Source organism: Homo sapiens, chromosome 6 (assembly GCF_000001405.40).
Source record: "Homo sapiens chromosome 6, GRCh38.p14 Primary Assembly".
In the NCBI taxonomy this organism is placed as follows: Eukaryota; Metazoa; Chordata; class Mammalia; order Primates; family Hominidae; genus Homo; species Homo sapiens.
The window spans coordinates 114,131,475-114,148,167 of record NC_000006.12 but is presented as its reverse complement, the minus strand read 5'-3'; the positions used below and the strand labels follow the sequence as shown (position 1 = coordinate 114,148,167).

Genomic DNA, 16,693 nt, shown 5'->3' with positions numbered 1-16,693 from the left:
TTTGTCAGGTTTGTCAAAGATCAGATGGTTGTAGATGTGTGGTGTTATTTCTGAGGTCTCTGTTCTGTTCCATTGGCTGCAGACCTAAGAATTTATAATGTCTAGAAAAATGATCTTATGGTACCTAGAAATGAAATTTCCAATTCAAATTATTCTAGAAGTAATGATTTTCTTATATCAAATCATTCTGAAATTATAATTTTATGCATTCGGATGAAGGAGGATATATATGCTGCAACAGAGATCAAAAGTGACAGAAGCTTACCTCTAAGAGAAGTTTATTTCTCTGCCAGGTGCGGTGGCTCATGGCTGTAATCCCAGCACTTTGGGAGGCCAAGGTGGGAGAATCACTTGAGGTCAGGAGTTCAAGACCAGCCTGGCCAACATGGTAAAACCCTGTCTCTACTAAAAATACAAAAATTAGCGAAGTGTGGTGGTGCCTGCTTGTAGTCCCAGCTACTCGGGAGGCTGAGGCAGGAGGATCACTTGAGCCTAGGAGGCAGAGGTTGCAGTGAGCTGAGATTGTGCCACTGTACTCCAGCCTGGGTGACAGAGCGAGACTCCAAAACATCTCCGCCACCCCTCAAAAAAGGAAGTTTATTTCTCATGACCTAACAATTCAGAATGAGTAGTCCAGATTGGTAGGTTGGTTCTGCTGCACTAGGTTATTCCAAGACCCTATTCTTCTGTGTTTCAATCAACTTCATCTTCATGGTTGAAGTGAGGTCACTGCCATGCCAGTGTCCCTATGCATGGAGGAGCAGAAATGAAGGGCAAACAACCCTCTTAAGTGATGTGGAAGTTGCACACATCACTTCAGCTCACGTTCTATCAGTGAGAATTCAGTCACATGGCCACATTTAGCTGCAAGGGAGGCTGGAAAATAGTCTGTGGCATCCTCATCTGAGTTCGTACCCCAAATAGCCAAATAACTATGTGTTTTCAAAATCCCACTCAGTCTTTGCATCCAGCACAAAGTCATGTGCTGGCTTTTCCAACAAGAGCTGAGATAGCTCTTTTGTGCTGGTAATGTGTAAACAGTTAAGATTCTTGACTTTGCCCACAGAGTCCCCCTATATAGTGTTAGTGTAGTAATAGGATAATGCAGTATAATCTCCCATTCAGAAAAGAAAGAAAGGGAAACACATAGTAGTCCCTGATCCATACCAGTGATGAAAGCCTGCTGCTCAGTGTATTCAGCTGTTCTTGCATGCCATAAAGAAATACCTGCAACTGGGTAATTTATAAAGAAAAGAGGTTTAATGGCTCATAGTTCTGCAGGCACAAGCATGGCAGCTTCCCAGGAGGCCTCGGAGCTGTTACTCATGGCAGAGGGTAAAGCGGGAGCAGGAATATCACATGGCAGAAGCAGGAGTGAGGGAATGGGGGAAGGTGCCATACACTTTTAAATGACCAAATCACATGAGACCTCATCAAATATTGCAAAGACGCACCAAGCCATGAGGGATCCACCCCCATGATGCAAACATATCCCACCAGTCCCCACTTCCACTGTTGGGAATTTCAGTTCAACATGAGATTTGGGCAGGAGTGAATATACAAACCGTATCACTTAGGAACAGCCTCCCTGCCCTTCTAGGGGTTGATGCCCTCTGCTTAGACCCTGGTGGACATTCTTGGCCATTGGCCTCCATGGCTTCTAACTTTCCTCTCTGGAGGTTCTTCCTTGCCCATATTCTCCTTAGCCACATGTGAGGTGAGACAGAGAGAAACACTCCTTTGGGGACCTCGTTTAGGGATTGAACAATCACAGGACTTTATGGGCCAGACTTCTACTTTCTTTAACGATATGATTCTCTCAGAACTTAGTCAATTTAGGTCAGCCAACTGTATCTTCTGTAAGGGAGGAACAAAGTTGACTACCTTTAAAAAACAAAAAGTACTCTTTCACAGTGCTCGCAGATTTCTATTTCAAATATTCTATTTAGCTGTCTTTATGGTTGGCCGTTAGGATAAAGCTCTCTACTCTCAAAGATTGCTTCTTGTAGAACTGTGGTTTACAGAGAAGAGACATATCTAGAAGCAACTGGACTCTGTAATTTTTTTTAATTTTAGTAGAAATGCTAAAGGTGATTTTATTTCTAAATCAGACTATTTTTTTCTATTGAAAATTATGAGAGTTTGGACCCATTTAGTTAGCCAGTCTCCAGTAGCAATCCATTCCATCACAACATTAGGAAAATGTACTTTCCTTTCAGATGTCCATTGGTTTAAAGGTGATGCGACATCTCAAGGGTATCAGTTCAATTAAGATCACTTACCACAAATTCTTTAAATTCAGCTATGATAGATACAGCACTGCTGTGAGAAATTATCCTCCCAAAGCTGAGGGCTGTGGCTTAGGGGCAGACAGCTGTGTTCCTGATGAGTGAGGAAGGCCCCTGCTTCCCACAGCACCCCCACACGAGCCCTGCCTCCCACTGCAGTTCGCAGCAGCTCAAGACTCAACTCTCACTTCTGCATCTGCTGTCTTTGTTTGCTTTGGTGTCCTTGACCCTGCCTGCTCCACGTACCTGGCCACTCTCATTGAACCTTTATGGTTTTGACATCTGTCATTTTCTGCCCATGTAAACTACCCTGGCCACTCTCTCCAGACTCCCTCCTTCTAATCAGGCAGGCTTTGTGTCCCCATGTGAACATTCCTGTCATTCCTCTGGTTTGGGGACCTGTCTCTCCCAAACCCGACATTCTCATTTCATTTCAGGCTTGCCATAAACCAGGGCTCAGATAAGCCAGGCTTACTGCTGGGACCACTGCAAATAATACCTGAGATGAAACTCGAAGCACACTAAACCATTTTGAGAAAGAATCTTTCACAATAAAGAAACTCTATTCCTGGAGAGATGATGAAATTTCAGTGTGAGGTGTTTTGTTTTTTGTTTTGTTTTAGCAAGGCAGTCTTTGAGCTGTGTGAGATAGGACTGGAATGTGCTATCAGGACCAACCTAGAAGTACAAAGCTAAGCCCTGCCTCCGGGGCTTGTAGGAATGTGGACAGAATACCAGAACCTAGTTGGTATACAGGGTATGAAGTCAGGTTCAAATGCCAAGAAGTAAGGGTCAGGTCAGCAGCAAAAATCAACAGAGAGTGGAGGAACTGGAGTGAAGTTGGAGCACAAGTGAGAGTAATTTCCGTGAGCATCAGCTGAGATGTTTGAATGGCCCAGGCTCTGCAGACACAGGTATGTCACTACCCGGCCAAGGCTCCCACTGTTCAGGTCCCAACTAACAGCAGAGCAACAAGTTAGGCAGACATAAACGTTTACTGAATAGCTGTTATATATCAGGCACTGCCACAGGAGCTATACAAACGTTACTCATTTAATTCTAACAACTGTACTTTGAAGTAGGTATCAACTCAGCCTTTTACAGATGAGGAAACTGTAACATGGTTCAGATGACCTAGCTAGTAAGTGTCAGAGCTAAGATTAGTGCCCAGTTCTACCTAATGCCAATGGCTTTGCCTTTCCTGTCCAGCAGGGGTTAAAATATGTTTAAAACAATCTATGGATTTTTGGGACCTGCTACCTCCAGTTTCCATGTTTCTGCTTATGTCCTGTAGATGCATTTATTTGAGAACTAACTTCTGGATAGAAGTTTCAAGATTAAATGCTCATGTTTGGTCATATGGTAGGAACTTTTGGAGAGTTTAATTTTAGGCTGTGTGGGACCATTATGCAACTTATCAAAGACCGTCCCAAAGCTGAAAGAGTTTTCTTTCTTTGTGATGTAACTAAAAATGTCTTTATCGGGCTCTGATTTTATTTGTGAAATTTCAATCTTTGAACAATGACTGGTGGGAAATCCAGTTAATAATGTGAACTCTTCGCTAAATGTATCGGTCATAGGTCATCCAAAGGTGATGAGAAGTCTGCCAATGTTTGGGAATGCTGCATGCTTGTCTCTGTACAGTCCAAAACAGAGTGAAGTTTTTCAGCCTAAAAACACAGGAAAGCAGCTCTCCTATATTCATCAATCTGGTCAGGGGCAGTTCTGTGACAGTCTGCTCAGGCTACAGAGTAGAGTGGTGAACACAGTTGCCACTGGGAACTCTGGGACTGCATTTACACTGCCTGCTGGTTTCCCACTCACTTAAAACCTCAACATAAAAAATAGAGATGAGTCTCTTAAGTAAAAATTGTTTTATTTGAGAATAATATACAAGAAGTAGGACTGCAATCTGGGACATATATACAGACCAGATTGGCCTCTGGAGTGTCCACAGAATAAAGGAAAAGGTTAGAGTTTATTGGGAAAGGCGGAGGCTATGCGTTGGTTTTGGAAGAAAGCTTATTGGTGCTGGCAGCAACAAAAGAGCTGGTGAGTTCTGACTGGCGAGTGTCAATAGTTATTAGGTAGGACTTGTAATCCTGGAGTTACAGTTAGGCCCTTGTAGTTTTGGACTGGGCTTGTGAGACTGTGTCAGGCACATGTTCTTGTATAAGCAGCTAGCTGTCCTTATGCTGCAAACTGTCCTTGTGTGACCCATGTAATAAGCTGCAGTTTGGAAAAATTTCTTCTGATGGCTCCTGTTATCAAGAAAATCATGTGTGAGATCCCTCCGTTCATGATCCTCCTTGGCGCCATTTGCCCGGGTTTGACACAAGTGACTCTATTTTGAATCTTACAACTTTCACACCCCAAATGCTAGTATTGGAATAGTAATGATACTACATATCTAATCACCTCCTATTCTGCAATGGACATGCACAACTTCCTAAAAAGAACACAAATCCAGAAGAGGAATTAGACAATGGTTATATATAGTGATCTCCCACTGAACACGACATATGTGTTATTAACAATGATAATCATTATTATGCTAGACATTTTGCAGTACTTATTATGTGCCAGGCATTATTCTCATACTTTATGGATATTAACTCATTTAACCTTTACAACAGTCTCATGAAGTAGATATTATTATTCTTCCAATATTACATCTTCCAAGATGAGAAAACCAAGGCATAGAACAGTTAAGTAATTTGCCCAAGGCCACATGTCCAGTGAAAAGCAACCACTGAAATTATGCTTCCTGTTTGAAAGAACTGACGATAAGGCAGATTTAATGAGTGACAAGTACTTTGGAGTCAGTAAAGGGAAAAGAGAGAGCGTGATAAACTTACCTATAGTGTTTAGTCTAAGTTACCCCACTCTTCACTGTGGCCACCGTCCACCACTTGTAGCTCTTCTCCAAAAGCCTGAACATTTTTCCCCGTTAATGTGTTTAGGCAAAGATAATTGCTGTGGTACTAAGGCAGGAATTGGTGAGTGAGGTGAGAAGATAACTTTTACTTAGTAGCAGTCCAGAAGAAATGACAACATTCTTCACAGCACTCCTCCCTTAAGCTTCCCTATCCCCTATAAATGGATAGACATACAGGAAAACCTTGGTATGGGACTATTTGTGTAGAGCTCATGAAGACTAGATTGATTAAGGGAAGTTATGTTAGCTTCTCTTATGAGACTTTGAAATCGTTTTATTATGCAGAATGCTTTCTGTAAATGGCATTTACCTGTAAGAGGAAAAAGATGATTATATCTATTGATTATATAATTATTCATCTTTACAAACATTTTGCAAAGATTATCACATTTAAATTCTGTCTGGCTCACAAGGCTTGTGTTATCCTCACCCACCCTCGCAGTAACTGCTCCCTCCTTTCTCCCAGCCACGCTTACCTCCCATGACTCACTCGTGAGCCTGCCACGTGACCGTATTCAGAGCTTCCACATGGAACAGGTTAAAATGAAAAGGAAGATTGTTGACATCACTTTCTGATGTTACTTTATTTTACTCGTTCCTTTCATTGGTTTACCAATCCCAAACTGTAAACCTTATTTGACCCAGGACTTTTTCCATGTTTTAAACGTTCATTACAATTGCACAGCTCCTATAAATGCATGCTCCTCATATCCCTGTCTAAAGAATTCTATACAGAGATGGGAAGTTGTTATCCTTGAAATAATCAGACAGTGATGCTCCAAGCAGGAAAGCTTAAGAAATAGGGATGATAAAGGAGACAGTACACAAATGGAAAAATTTAAAGGCAGGGCATTATTTTGTGAGAGAGAGAAGAGAGACAAACTGGAAACCAAGAAATATCATGAATATTACAAACAACCAGCTGTAGGAAATGAGGAAAAAAAAATGAGATGGAACATGAAGCAGGGAAGCATTTGTTTTATTCAAATAGATAAGGATCTGAGAGCCATTCGCATGGCAGGCTTGTATGCAAAATACACACACACACACACACACACACACACACACACACACACACACACAAACTATCATCTTAGATAGAGCAGAAAGCTGACAAAGTGGCAAGATGCTGAGAACACTGGCAGTCCCAAGCCCATGTCTGTAGGACAGGAGCCAATGGGCAGGAAGGGCACGCTCACCTTCTCAGCCTCGCCTTCCAAACAGCCCCTACTGCCTTGTCACATTCCAACTGAGTTTCATGCATTTGGTATTGTACATATTGTTAAAATGAAAATTAAAACTGTCATACTTGGGTGACTCAGGCACATTTATAATTTATCACCTTTCTTTATAGTTAAAAAGAACAACCAGGGAAATGCAGCTTAGCTCTCACTCACAAACTCTCAGCACTACATAAAGCATGCTTGAGCCTCATAAGACAGATATACTGCACACATTTAGCATATTTCTTTCTCCCCTTATGGAACTTTTTCTTACCCCTCGTATGCTTAGCTTTAAATATATTCAGAAGCTATAAATATTACATGGAATTTTGAGATCTGAAAAATGACTTCTTCATTGCTGATATACTGATATGCTGAAGAACAAATTTAGTATCCATATTTACATGATAAAAGTTTTCAGTTAATACACTGGACTGTTTTTAGCCATCCATGGCAATGCTGTGATTACATTTCAATCGTTGAGTGAAGGAGAGAAAAGGATCCAATTTAGAATGAACCCAGGTTTCTGGGTAAGTGGAGATTTGCTGAATTTGTAGGGGCAGGAAGAGACACAGGTCTCCAGTGGTAAAGTTAAGTATATTTTAATGAGGCACTGTAGCCAGAGGTGTCCTCTTGATATTTAAAGTATGTATAATGCACTCATTTGGAAAATGCCATTTTATTTCCCTCTGAATAAAAATAATAGTTACTACTTATTGAGTACTTGATTTGTTACAGGCATTGTTTCTCACTCTATCTTATTTAATCCTTATAACAACCTTGTGGGTATATTTCTTCAATTTACAGATGAGGAAACTGAAGCAGAAAGAAATAAAATAACTTGCTAAAAAAAAATTACATAACTAGTAAATGCAAAGAACTGCCAGGCTCCAAGATCTTGCCTTTGCCTCTGCCCTGTACTGCTTCCAACTTGAAAAATAACAAACTAGCCATTTTTGACAGAACAGTCACGTTTCTCCCTTGTGGCTCAATCTCAGAGCAGCCCTCTCTGCATTCCTCGTGCTCCTCTGCCCAGCGTGCTCTTCTGTGTACCGTTGGAGCAGATCTGAACATGACACTAATGCCCTGTGTTGGATTCACAGCCAAGGTGAGGGTAGAAAAGAGTCAGCAAGGTCCAGTGCTTTCTAAGCCTTTATTTATTATACAAATGATCTTAGAACACTATAACAAGCAAGGAAGGGGTGGACCTTAGAGAACTTCTGATTCATCTCAAACATGTAATGCATCTCAAATTTCAGCCAGTCACACAACATCTTCGTGATTTTGGCCAGATCTACCAACCACTTTTACAATTATTTAATACACCGTTTAAATAAACTTTTTAACACTTTTTAAATGCATTTATGTTAAAAAAAATTTATATCACTATTATAAATGGCAAGCCAGTATCACTTTTCATAAATTAAAGATAACCATAAAAATGTACAAAAATAACATTATGAAATTCTAGTCTAATATTGCCAAACTCTTTGAAATTGATAGCCAGTATAGATTAGACATTATTTAAGAGGTGTGAAAGATACTGTAGCATCAAACTGAGACTTTTCCCCTTGAATAAATAGAAGGATTGAAAAAGAAGTAGAAGAAAATCACTCTTTCCTCAGGTAGTTCAGTGTTATTTAATGCCATGTCTGTGCATTACTGATAGTCATCTCTAGTGTAGCCAGTGGTTTGTATCCATCACTCAGGAAAGTCTAGGGAATAGCTATTTCCCTCATTGAAAAGAACAAAGACTAAGGGCCAGAAAGGTGAAATGTTTACATGTCTGATACCCGACATCTAGCATTTAGTAGATGCATTAACATCTTAAATGAGTGAATAAATGAGGTATTTGGAAATATTTGCACTTTAAAATCAAATATGGCTTCTAATTTTGTAACTGCCATTTCCTGCCAGTATGACCAGAACCCAGGTGGTCTCTTGACTCCCAACAATGTTCTTGTTCATGCCACATACTGCTCCACAAGTTGAAGATGATGCATAAATGGTAGTTGAGAGCTAGATGCAGATTCTATGACAGGTCCAAGTTCTACAAGGCAAAACCTAGCACAGAGTTGGGAATCTAGCATGTATTAAATAAGTAATAGGGGATAAATCTTTAAATAGATAGACAGGAATCTTGTTGTCTCCTTCCTTCTGAATTTAGCAATTAAGTTCAACTTCTGTTTACTGAGAATACCTATGTTTCCAGCGCTATTCATATAGAGTAGAATCAGATAAATGGGTCTACTCATGCTGAATTACCCGGATGAAGTGATCAACAAACGCACACTCTGCCTCCTCCCTCATCTTTTTTTTTTTTGAACTTTTGTCCCTAATGTCATTTGCGAGAGTGTAAAATTCTGAGTTCTTCAGACTTTTCCAACCGCTCTTCCCACCTACTTCAATCTCTTCAACCACAGTAGCCCAAGAGTGGCCACCATTAGGCTATGATGTTAATCATCCCAGATGGCCTGACTGTTCAACACCAAAGATCAGGGTTAGCTGGAAACCAAACACTCCTTCAGTCACTGCAGTGAGAACAATATAAGCACATCTGAAAGGAGAGTGGGGAGAAGATCAAGGCAACAGGGCAAAGATATTCCTGTGGGACTGAATGGTGCTGCTGTTGGCAAAGTGCACTCCTGCTATAGATTGAATATTTTTGTCCCTTCAGCATTTTTATGTTGAAATCCTAACTCCAAGGTGAGGACATTAGGGGGTGGGGCATTCTGAAGCCCTAATGAATGGGATCTGTAGCTTTACAAAAAGAGATCTGGGAGAGCTCCCTTGCCCCTTCCAAGTGAGGATGAAGCAAGAAGATGCCTTCTGTGAACTAGGAAGCAAGCGCTCACCAGACACTGAATCTACCAAGCCTCCAAAACTAAGAAATACATTTCTGTTGTTTATAAGCTACCCAGTCCACATTATTTTGTTATAGCAGCTTGCAGGGACTAAGACAACTCACCATTACTATCTTTGGTGGAATTCACATTCATGTATTCCATTCCAAGAGCAGGAGCTTGAAGAAATGTTTGCCATAAATTACAACTCAGGATTTTTTACCAGGGGAGCCACGTAGATGGGTCCGGTACAAAGGACTGTCAAGTGTCATATTTTCAGCCATTCCGAGAGATGCTAGGAAGGAAACTAAAGTGTATATATAAGATATTCCTGCATGGTTACCTGCTCATTCCAACTCAGCTTCTCCTAACGCTGGGTTCTGTTTTTATGTGGCCTCTTCAGACATCAAGACCTTTTGCCCACATTTCCACCATTCCATCATTTAAGTAGCAACTGCTCTAACAGTAATAACAGGAAAAATCTTACTAACCCAAATATATTTTGCTTTTAATTATGCTAGTACCATAGTAGACATCTTTTTTAGAGAACAAAATTAATCCAAAAGCCGTTTTGTGAAGATAATGATTTTTTCAAGTCAACAGATGAAGGCAATATCCATCACTTTATGAGATCAGTGACTGTCCTTTTCCCAGCACCTAGAACTATCATGGCATATAGATGTTCAATAAGTACTTGTTCAATGAATGAATGTAAATTTGGACATATAATGGACTAAGGAATCAGAAATGGGTGCTAATTTAATTACTACTACTTCTCCATCTGACCAATGTGACTTCAGACAAGGTACCCAACTCTCAGAGCCTCCTTTTTTTTTTAATCTATAAAATGCTAGTGCTATTTTTAAGATTAGGATTAAGTATTTAGAGTACCTAGCTCATAACAGGGATTTAATAAGTGGTAGCTCTTTTTATTATACTTATAAGTGGATCTATTTGGGGATATTGAAGAAGTCTGAAAACTCCTTTAATTTCAAAGACCTAACAATCAGTGCCACCAATTAGTCATCAGTGCCACCAACAAGGCACAGCGTTGGATGCCAGAGGAGACATCAGAAGCAGGAAATGGGAAGAGTGGAAGAGATGAAGTAGGAATAAATGAATGGATAGGAAAGGCAGGCAAAGAAGGGGAGCTCAGTGGAGGAGCAGTGACTTGCCATGAATCCCTGCCTTGTTAGCACTTGGCACAGTGGGACCTATCCACATAAGAAATCGCATTTCCTTTCCTCAAGAGTCCACTGAGACTTCAGGAGAGACACAACTTGACAACTTTTGAATGGACACCTGAAAAAGGTCCTCTTATTTTCTGCCACTGTTTTGTGTTTCATTCTTTTGTTTGGCCAACTTAATATTAACTATTTCAATTTAGCAGATATTTCAGGAGCAACACCAAGTTCAAAACCCAGTTCTTGGCACCCAAGCAATGATATACTAAATATTTTTCACCTGAGACTACAGAAGATCTTACATCCCTGTGATGTCTATAGGTGTGTATTTCTCTTACCACCTTGACAAAATTAAGTGGCTTTCTCATATGCAAGGAGAATTATGCTTTCTAGTATCCAAGTGTTAAAGCCAGCATACTGTTACTTTTGTACTTTGAAACTATAAATGGGATATGGTTTGCGGGGGGGAGAAGAAATTGGAATTGGTCTCATTAAGGGAGAAAAATCTTTTCCTGATAACCTATTCAAGAAGAGATAATTCTCAGGTTTCCACTTTGGATACTGCCATTATCCAGAAAGTCATCGAAACAAGATTGCTATGATACATTATATTGTCATATCCACATATCCATTTAGGAAAAAAACACATTGGCAATAGTTCTTCAGCAGAATTCATTATATTCTCTGAATGAATCAGATTGGGAGGGCAAAATATCAAAAAATGATATTCTCTCCAAAAGTAATTTTTCATAAAAACACCAGGACTTTTGGCACTCTGTAAATATTGTTTTTGTAACAATTATAATTAAAAGAGCCAAAAGGAGGTCAGAAAAATGTAGAGCCCAGTGAAAAATGTCCCAATGCCTTACTCCATGAAAATGTCTAGAATGATTTAAAGTATTGGGAATATGCAAATGAATGAATATTCCACAACAGCCTCCACTTGAACAAAACAAGGCTTTTGAATTGGCATAAGTTCCTTGAATAGTATTCTGAAGTGAGTCTATGCCAAAAATATAAAATAAGAGCAGCACATTAAAGTAGCCAACAGTCAAACAGACAAACTGGCCCTTCGGGGGAGACTGAAGGATTTCAAGTTAATGCCCAATTCACTTCAATACAACAAAAACATGTTAACTTCTAAGGTGCTATGAGAGATACAGGGTGTATTAGTCTGTTCTCATGCTGCTAATAAAGATATATCCGAGACTGGGTAATTTATAAAGGAAAGAGGTTTAATTGACTCACAGCTCCACATGGCTGGGGAGGCCTCACAATCATGGCTGAAGACAAATGAAGAGCAAAGTCACATCCTACATGGCAGCAGCCAACAGAGTGTGTGCAGGGGAACTGCTCTTTATAAAACCATTAGATCTCATGAGACTTATTCACTATCACAAGAACAGCATGGGAAAGACCTGCCCCCATGATTTAATTACTCCCACTGGGTCCGTCCCATGACACGTGGGACTTACTGAAGCTACAATTCAAGATGAGATTTAGGTGGGGACACAGCCAAACCATATCAAAGGGGGATGTAGCCTGATTCCTGTTTTGTGAGGTTTGTAATCTAATGAGTTAGACAGCTACCCTTGCAATTACAACACAAGGCAGGATTTATTCATTCATTCAACCAGTATGCACTGAGCACCCACTGTGTGTCCGTCTGTGTTCTGAGTGCTAGACATAAAGCAGAACACAAGGATCTCTGCCTTCCTGGTATGGGATTCTAACATGTGGATTGTTGAAATGACCATGAGTGATATGGAGGAAAACAAAGCAGACAAGGGGGATGCAACCTGGGCTCCAGTGATAAAGCCCAGGGGAGTAGGAGTCCTCACTGAGAAGGTGGCATTTGAATAAAGACCTGAAGGAGGTGAGTGAGTCATTAGGGTGGCTGGGGAAGAGCCTTCCAGGCAGAGTTGAAAGAGCAAGGACAGAATAAACACTATGCCTGGCATGTGCAAGAAACAGCAATAAATAAACGTCACGGGAAGAAGAAATTAATCTTGACTGTGGAATAGGAGAAAACATCACAGAAAAAGATGACATCTGACCTAAATCTTGAAACCGTGCCCTGGGTGGAGAGGGAGGATGGTGACATGCAGAGTGAGCAGATGAGCCAGGAGCAGAGTGAGAACAAGACACAGGTCAGCTGTGCTGGCACCCGCCTGTCTGTTCCAGCTCCGGTTCTGTGGGTTACTGGTGTTCATTACTTCATCAACAGCTCCCTGCTGTTTCTTTTTGCCATTCACATCCTCATCTACCTCTTGGTTTTTTCCCTGCCTGGGGAGTGCTAAGGTCATCACCCCTTCTTCCTCCTGTCTCTGGGCATAGTCCCTGCCCCCAGAAAACCCTGTTTTCTCACCTGACTTAACGTATATATCAGTTACCCCCAGGTCAGTATCTCAGTCACAATCTAATCAATAGTGCTGTGAATTATGGAAGGAATGATCAGGGTGTAGGAAACATTTGCAACCACCTATAGGAAGAGCAACTGTCAACAGTGGGACCTCTGCAGCCTGCAGGTATCTGCAGTGGCTCTGAAGAAAGAGCTCATGGTGTCCTCTCCACATTATCTATTTGCCAGTTTAGGCCTCTGTATGTCTCATGCCCCTTCCACCCTGGTTCACCAATCTAGAAGTCATTTATAGAGAAAACCAGCGTCACCAAGTTCACCCATGTCTCTCTCCACCTGCTCCCCTGGTGTTTCTGAGCCTCCTTACCCTGTGCAACCCTTGTGCCGTGGCACCCGCATGGTAAGCATGGATGGCAGACTTGGAAGCTGTGGCAGTAACGTGGGCTTAAGATCACTTTAGAGGATTCCACACTGAAATGCACACAAAATTTCAGGACACTGGAGGAAAAGAGAGAAATTCACAGAGGCTGGGGTCAAAGAGGAATGCATACAGGGTAGGGGCTAAGGCATCTCCCCTCAGCCCTGGCAGTCCCAGCATAGAAGGAGCTAGATAGGAATGATGCTTTCCAGCAGCCCTTGTTGCACACTAGAATCACCTGAGGAGCTTTTAAAAAACTGATTCTCCATCCCTAATTAAATGGGAATCTCTGGGGTAAGGCCCGAGCAGGTATTTCCTTGACAATTCCACGTGCGGCTTAGGCTGAGAACAACTGAGCTAGAATCAAAGCTGCCTTCTTCTCACTGCAGGTCCTGCTTCCTGTGCAGCTCTATGCAAAAAATTCTGCCTACCTGGGAAGGACTCCCCCTTTAGCCTCTCTGCCACTCCTGTATCTCCAAAATGGGGTTTCAACCAGACAGTTCTTTAGAGGAGAGGAAAATAGATGGCTAAGTGTTAGAACCTTGGGTCAGACCTTGGATCCAAGCCAGCAGTGCAACCTTGGGCAAATTATTTAACCTCCCCTGACCTCATTTTCTTCACCTGTAACCAGATGGCAATAATCATACGCTCCTCATGGGGTTGTGATGACTCCATGATATCATAAGTGCAGAGCCCCTCACATAGTGCCTGGCACACAGTAGGAGGCTGCTATTTGCTGTCAGTGTTGTGTGTCTTAACCTGGCTTATGCAAGTCCTTACCCTGCCCTCCAGACACAAGGCTTGCCAGTTTCTTGACTCAATGTACTCTCAAACTTGAATTGTTTTAAATTTCTCTCTCCTCCTCCTCCTCCTTTTTCTCTCCAGCCACCGCCTCCCACTACCGCTCCCCGCCGCCCTCTCTTTCTGTCTCTCTCTCTCTCTCATGCTCCCACATACACTCTGTGGTGTCTATCACATCCCAGTCTTGCTCCCTCTGCCTGGCCTGGCCTCTCTCTGTCCTTCCAGGCATGGACCCCTATGCATGCTCAAGATTCATCTTATAATCACCTCCCTGGAAACTGTCCTGAACAAGCCCCTGCACCCTATCTCAACCAGAATCCTCTCCTCTGTGCTACTGAAATGTCCTGCACATATTTCTAACTCTGCATTTACCACATTATATTCTATCTGTGCATGTAGCTCTTGCCCCCACTACAAATGAGCATCTTAAAATGCATTATTTTTCTTATATTTTTGGTGCTTAAAACAATGTCTGGTACACAATAAGCACTCAATAAATGCTGACTGACTGAATAAATGCTCTAAAATATCTTTCCCAGTGGCATATTAAGACATCTAGTCCCCTCCTCTTAGCCTAAAATTTATACCATTGGCATCATTTCCATGGGTTAAACAAGGAAAACACCACCACTGTATAGATTCTCTATGCAAATCTAGCTAAAGTGCAACTGTGTATATACGTGCACACACAAACACATGATACTACAGAGGAGCAAGGACTATCTACTGCAGCCATTCTCATCACCTCCCTATCCATTGGTGTCCTCTGAGGAACAGTGGGGTCATGGGCTAGAGAAACTCTCAGGTTCTCTCCAATCCTGGAACTTCGTGGAGGCAGGCTCAGGTCTTTGGGAAGTTCAAAGAAGCTGACTCTGAGGGAGGAAAACGGAGAACTGGACAGGGCAGTGAGGAACCAGGCCCATTGTCATCCCTTGATGGGCAGAAGACAAGATGGGAATGATGAGATCTGTGCAAGAACATCATTCAGGAAGGGCAGATCTAGATGCAGGATCTAGAGGAAATGGAGAGGGAGGTGACAAATAGGGGGTAAGAGGAGGATGAGATCTTCTCACAGCAAGCACCATGGAAGGGTTTGGAGTGGGGGAAAGATGAAATCAGAGGGTTGGTTGGGGATCAAGTTGACAAAAATAGAATGCGGATAAGAGAACAAGGAGGACAGAACAATGAAAATGTTGTGTAAGACACATTAACATTAGCCCTGAAAATCTCCCGGAAGAAAGTCAAAACTCAAGTCCTCTGAATTCAGACCGGCTTGAAAGAGCCTGGGCTTCTGGTGGTGAATGGGACAGGAGCCTCAAGGTCCAGCCGTTAGCCTCCCCTTCAGACCTACTAAAACCCAGCCTTCGTTCACAGTAGGTACATGCACGTTGTTTGGTGAAGACCTTATTCAATACTCACAGAGATGGTAACTATTTATAAGCCTGCCCTTTCCCCCCTTATATCTGGCCAAAACCTTTGTTTCACTTGGACCAGGCAATCTCCATCACTTCAGGCCATAACGCTGTTCTGTTTGCTGTTGCTCTTAGATTATAGGTAAACAGTACGGAAAATGCTATTTGTGACCAGGAGCACATTTCTGGAAAATGCCTGCCCTGCTGGTATTTGGCTGAATTTTGAATAGCTCTCTTTCTGACTACCTTGGCCAGCCAAATGGTATGCAAACAAGAGGGTGAGCTTTACTCATTCCCAACATTTATATGGCGTGATAAGACATGACAAACTTTATAGGAAATTATGCATAAATTTATATCAAAAATTGATGCATTGGTTGTCTGAAAACAAAATCGCATTTGCTGATAAGCTCTAATTTATTGTGGGAACAAGCAATAAAATGAAGGTTTCCTTTGGCAAAGTTTTACTGGAAATTCATAAAATCATGCAAGTGTACTGATTACAAATCAGCTGTCTATACCATACCATGCACAGATATGATCATTGCACAATACTTATCTTTCTCATTTTGTCACTTTTGGCACCAGTTTGTGTTTGAGAACCTCTCAACTATGATATAAGCTATGAGAATATTGAAAAAGGGAATCATTAATATGCAAAAAACAAATTAAAATTTAGGGTGCAAATAAGATAACAATTCAAAAGATTTATAAGGTAAAATATTGAAAAATTAAATTGAAGGAAAAACATATTAAATGATAATGAGAGAGGAATTTCCAAATGGAAGCATATACCACAATCACTCCCTTGGCACCAGTGAAAGGGCACATTGGAATATTAAACGCCCACATGGTTACAAGCAAGGCTTATTGTGACCACTGATAATGAATGTTACTAATCAGACAGAGAGGTACAGAAACAATAGTAAATAATGATTTCACAGAAGTAAAATTTGTGGATTTTTTATTTTTACATAAAAAGAAACGTAATCAGATAAAGATACCAAGTAGGTCTCTGACTTCTTAGGCCCAAGAGCAAAGTCTACAATAGATAGTTTCAAAATTCAGTTTCCTGAAAGAAGTATTTTAAGAAATTTTTTTAAATTTCAAATTGTCCCCCTTCTCCAACTTTTTAATCATGATATAACACCATGTTCCCTAAGAAGTTTAAGGACACTTTTTTCTCTATATGGCATATTCTTTTACAAGACATCTTTTAAGATCTAA

The 16,693-nt window shown here is 41.2% G+C and overlaps 1 protein-coding gene and 2 long non-coding RNA genes across 13 annotated transcripts in view; 1 reads left to right on the top strand and 2 right to left on the bottom strand.

The window, feature by feature from the left end:
• The window catches only part of HDAC2-AS2 (HDAC2 and HS3ST5 antisense RNA 2), a 371,029-nt gene that overhangs the window by 192,562 nt on the left and 161,774 nt on the right, over nucleotides 1-16,693 (bottom strand). The window lies entirely within an intron of this gene.
• HS3ST5 (heparan sulfate-glucosamine 3-sulfotransferase 5) overlaps nucleotides 1-16,693 on the top strand; it is a 287,428-nt gene that overhangs the window by 194,856 nt on the left and 75,879 nt on the right. For 2 of the 11 annotated variants that reach the window (NM_001387045.1, NM_001387047.1), the window contains exon 4: nucleotides 294-388. The exons of the other annotated variants lie outside the window; for them this stretch is intronic. The gene's annotated coding sequence lies outside the window, so the exon portion shown is untranslated. The remainder of the gene's footprint in view (nucleotides 1-293; nucleotides 389-16,693) is intronic. 11 annotated transcript variants of the gene reach the window in all.
• On the bottom strand, nucleotides 4,148-5,220 carry LOC124901383 (uncharacterized). Its single transcript, XR_007059718.1, has 2 exons — nucleotides 5,147-5,220; nucleotides 4,148-4,549 (listed from the first exon to the last, which is right to left on the bottom strand). It is a non-coding gene; the product is annotated as an uncharacterized LOC124901383 (long non-coding RNA).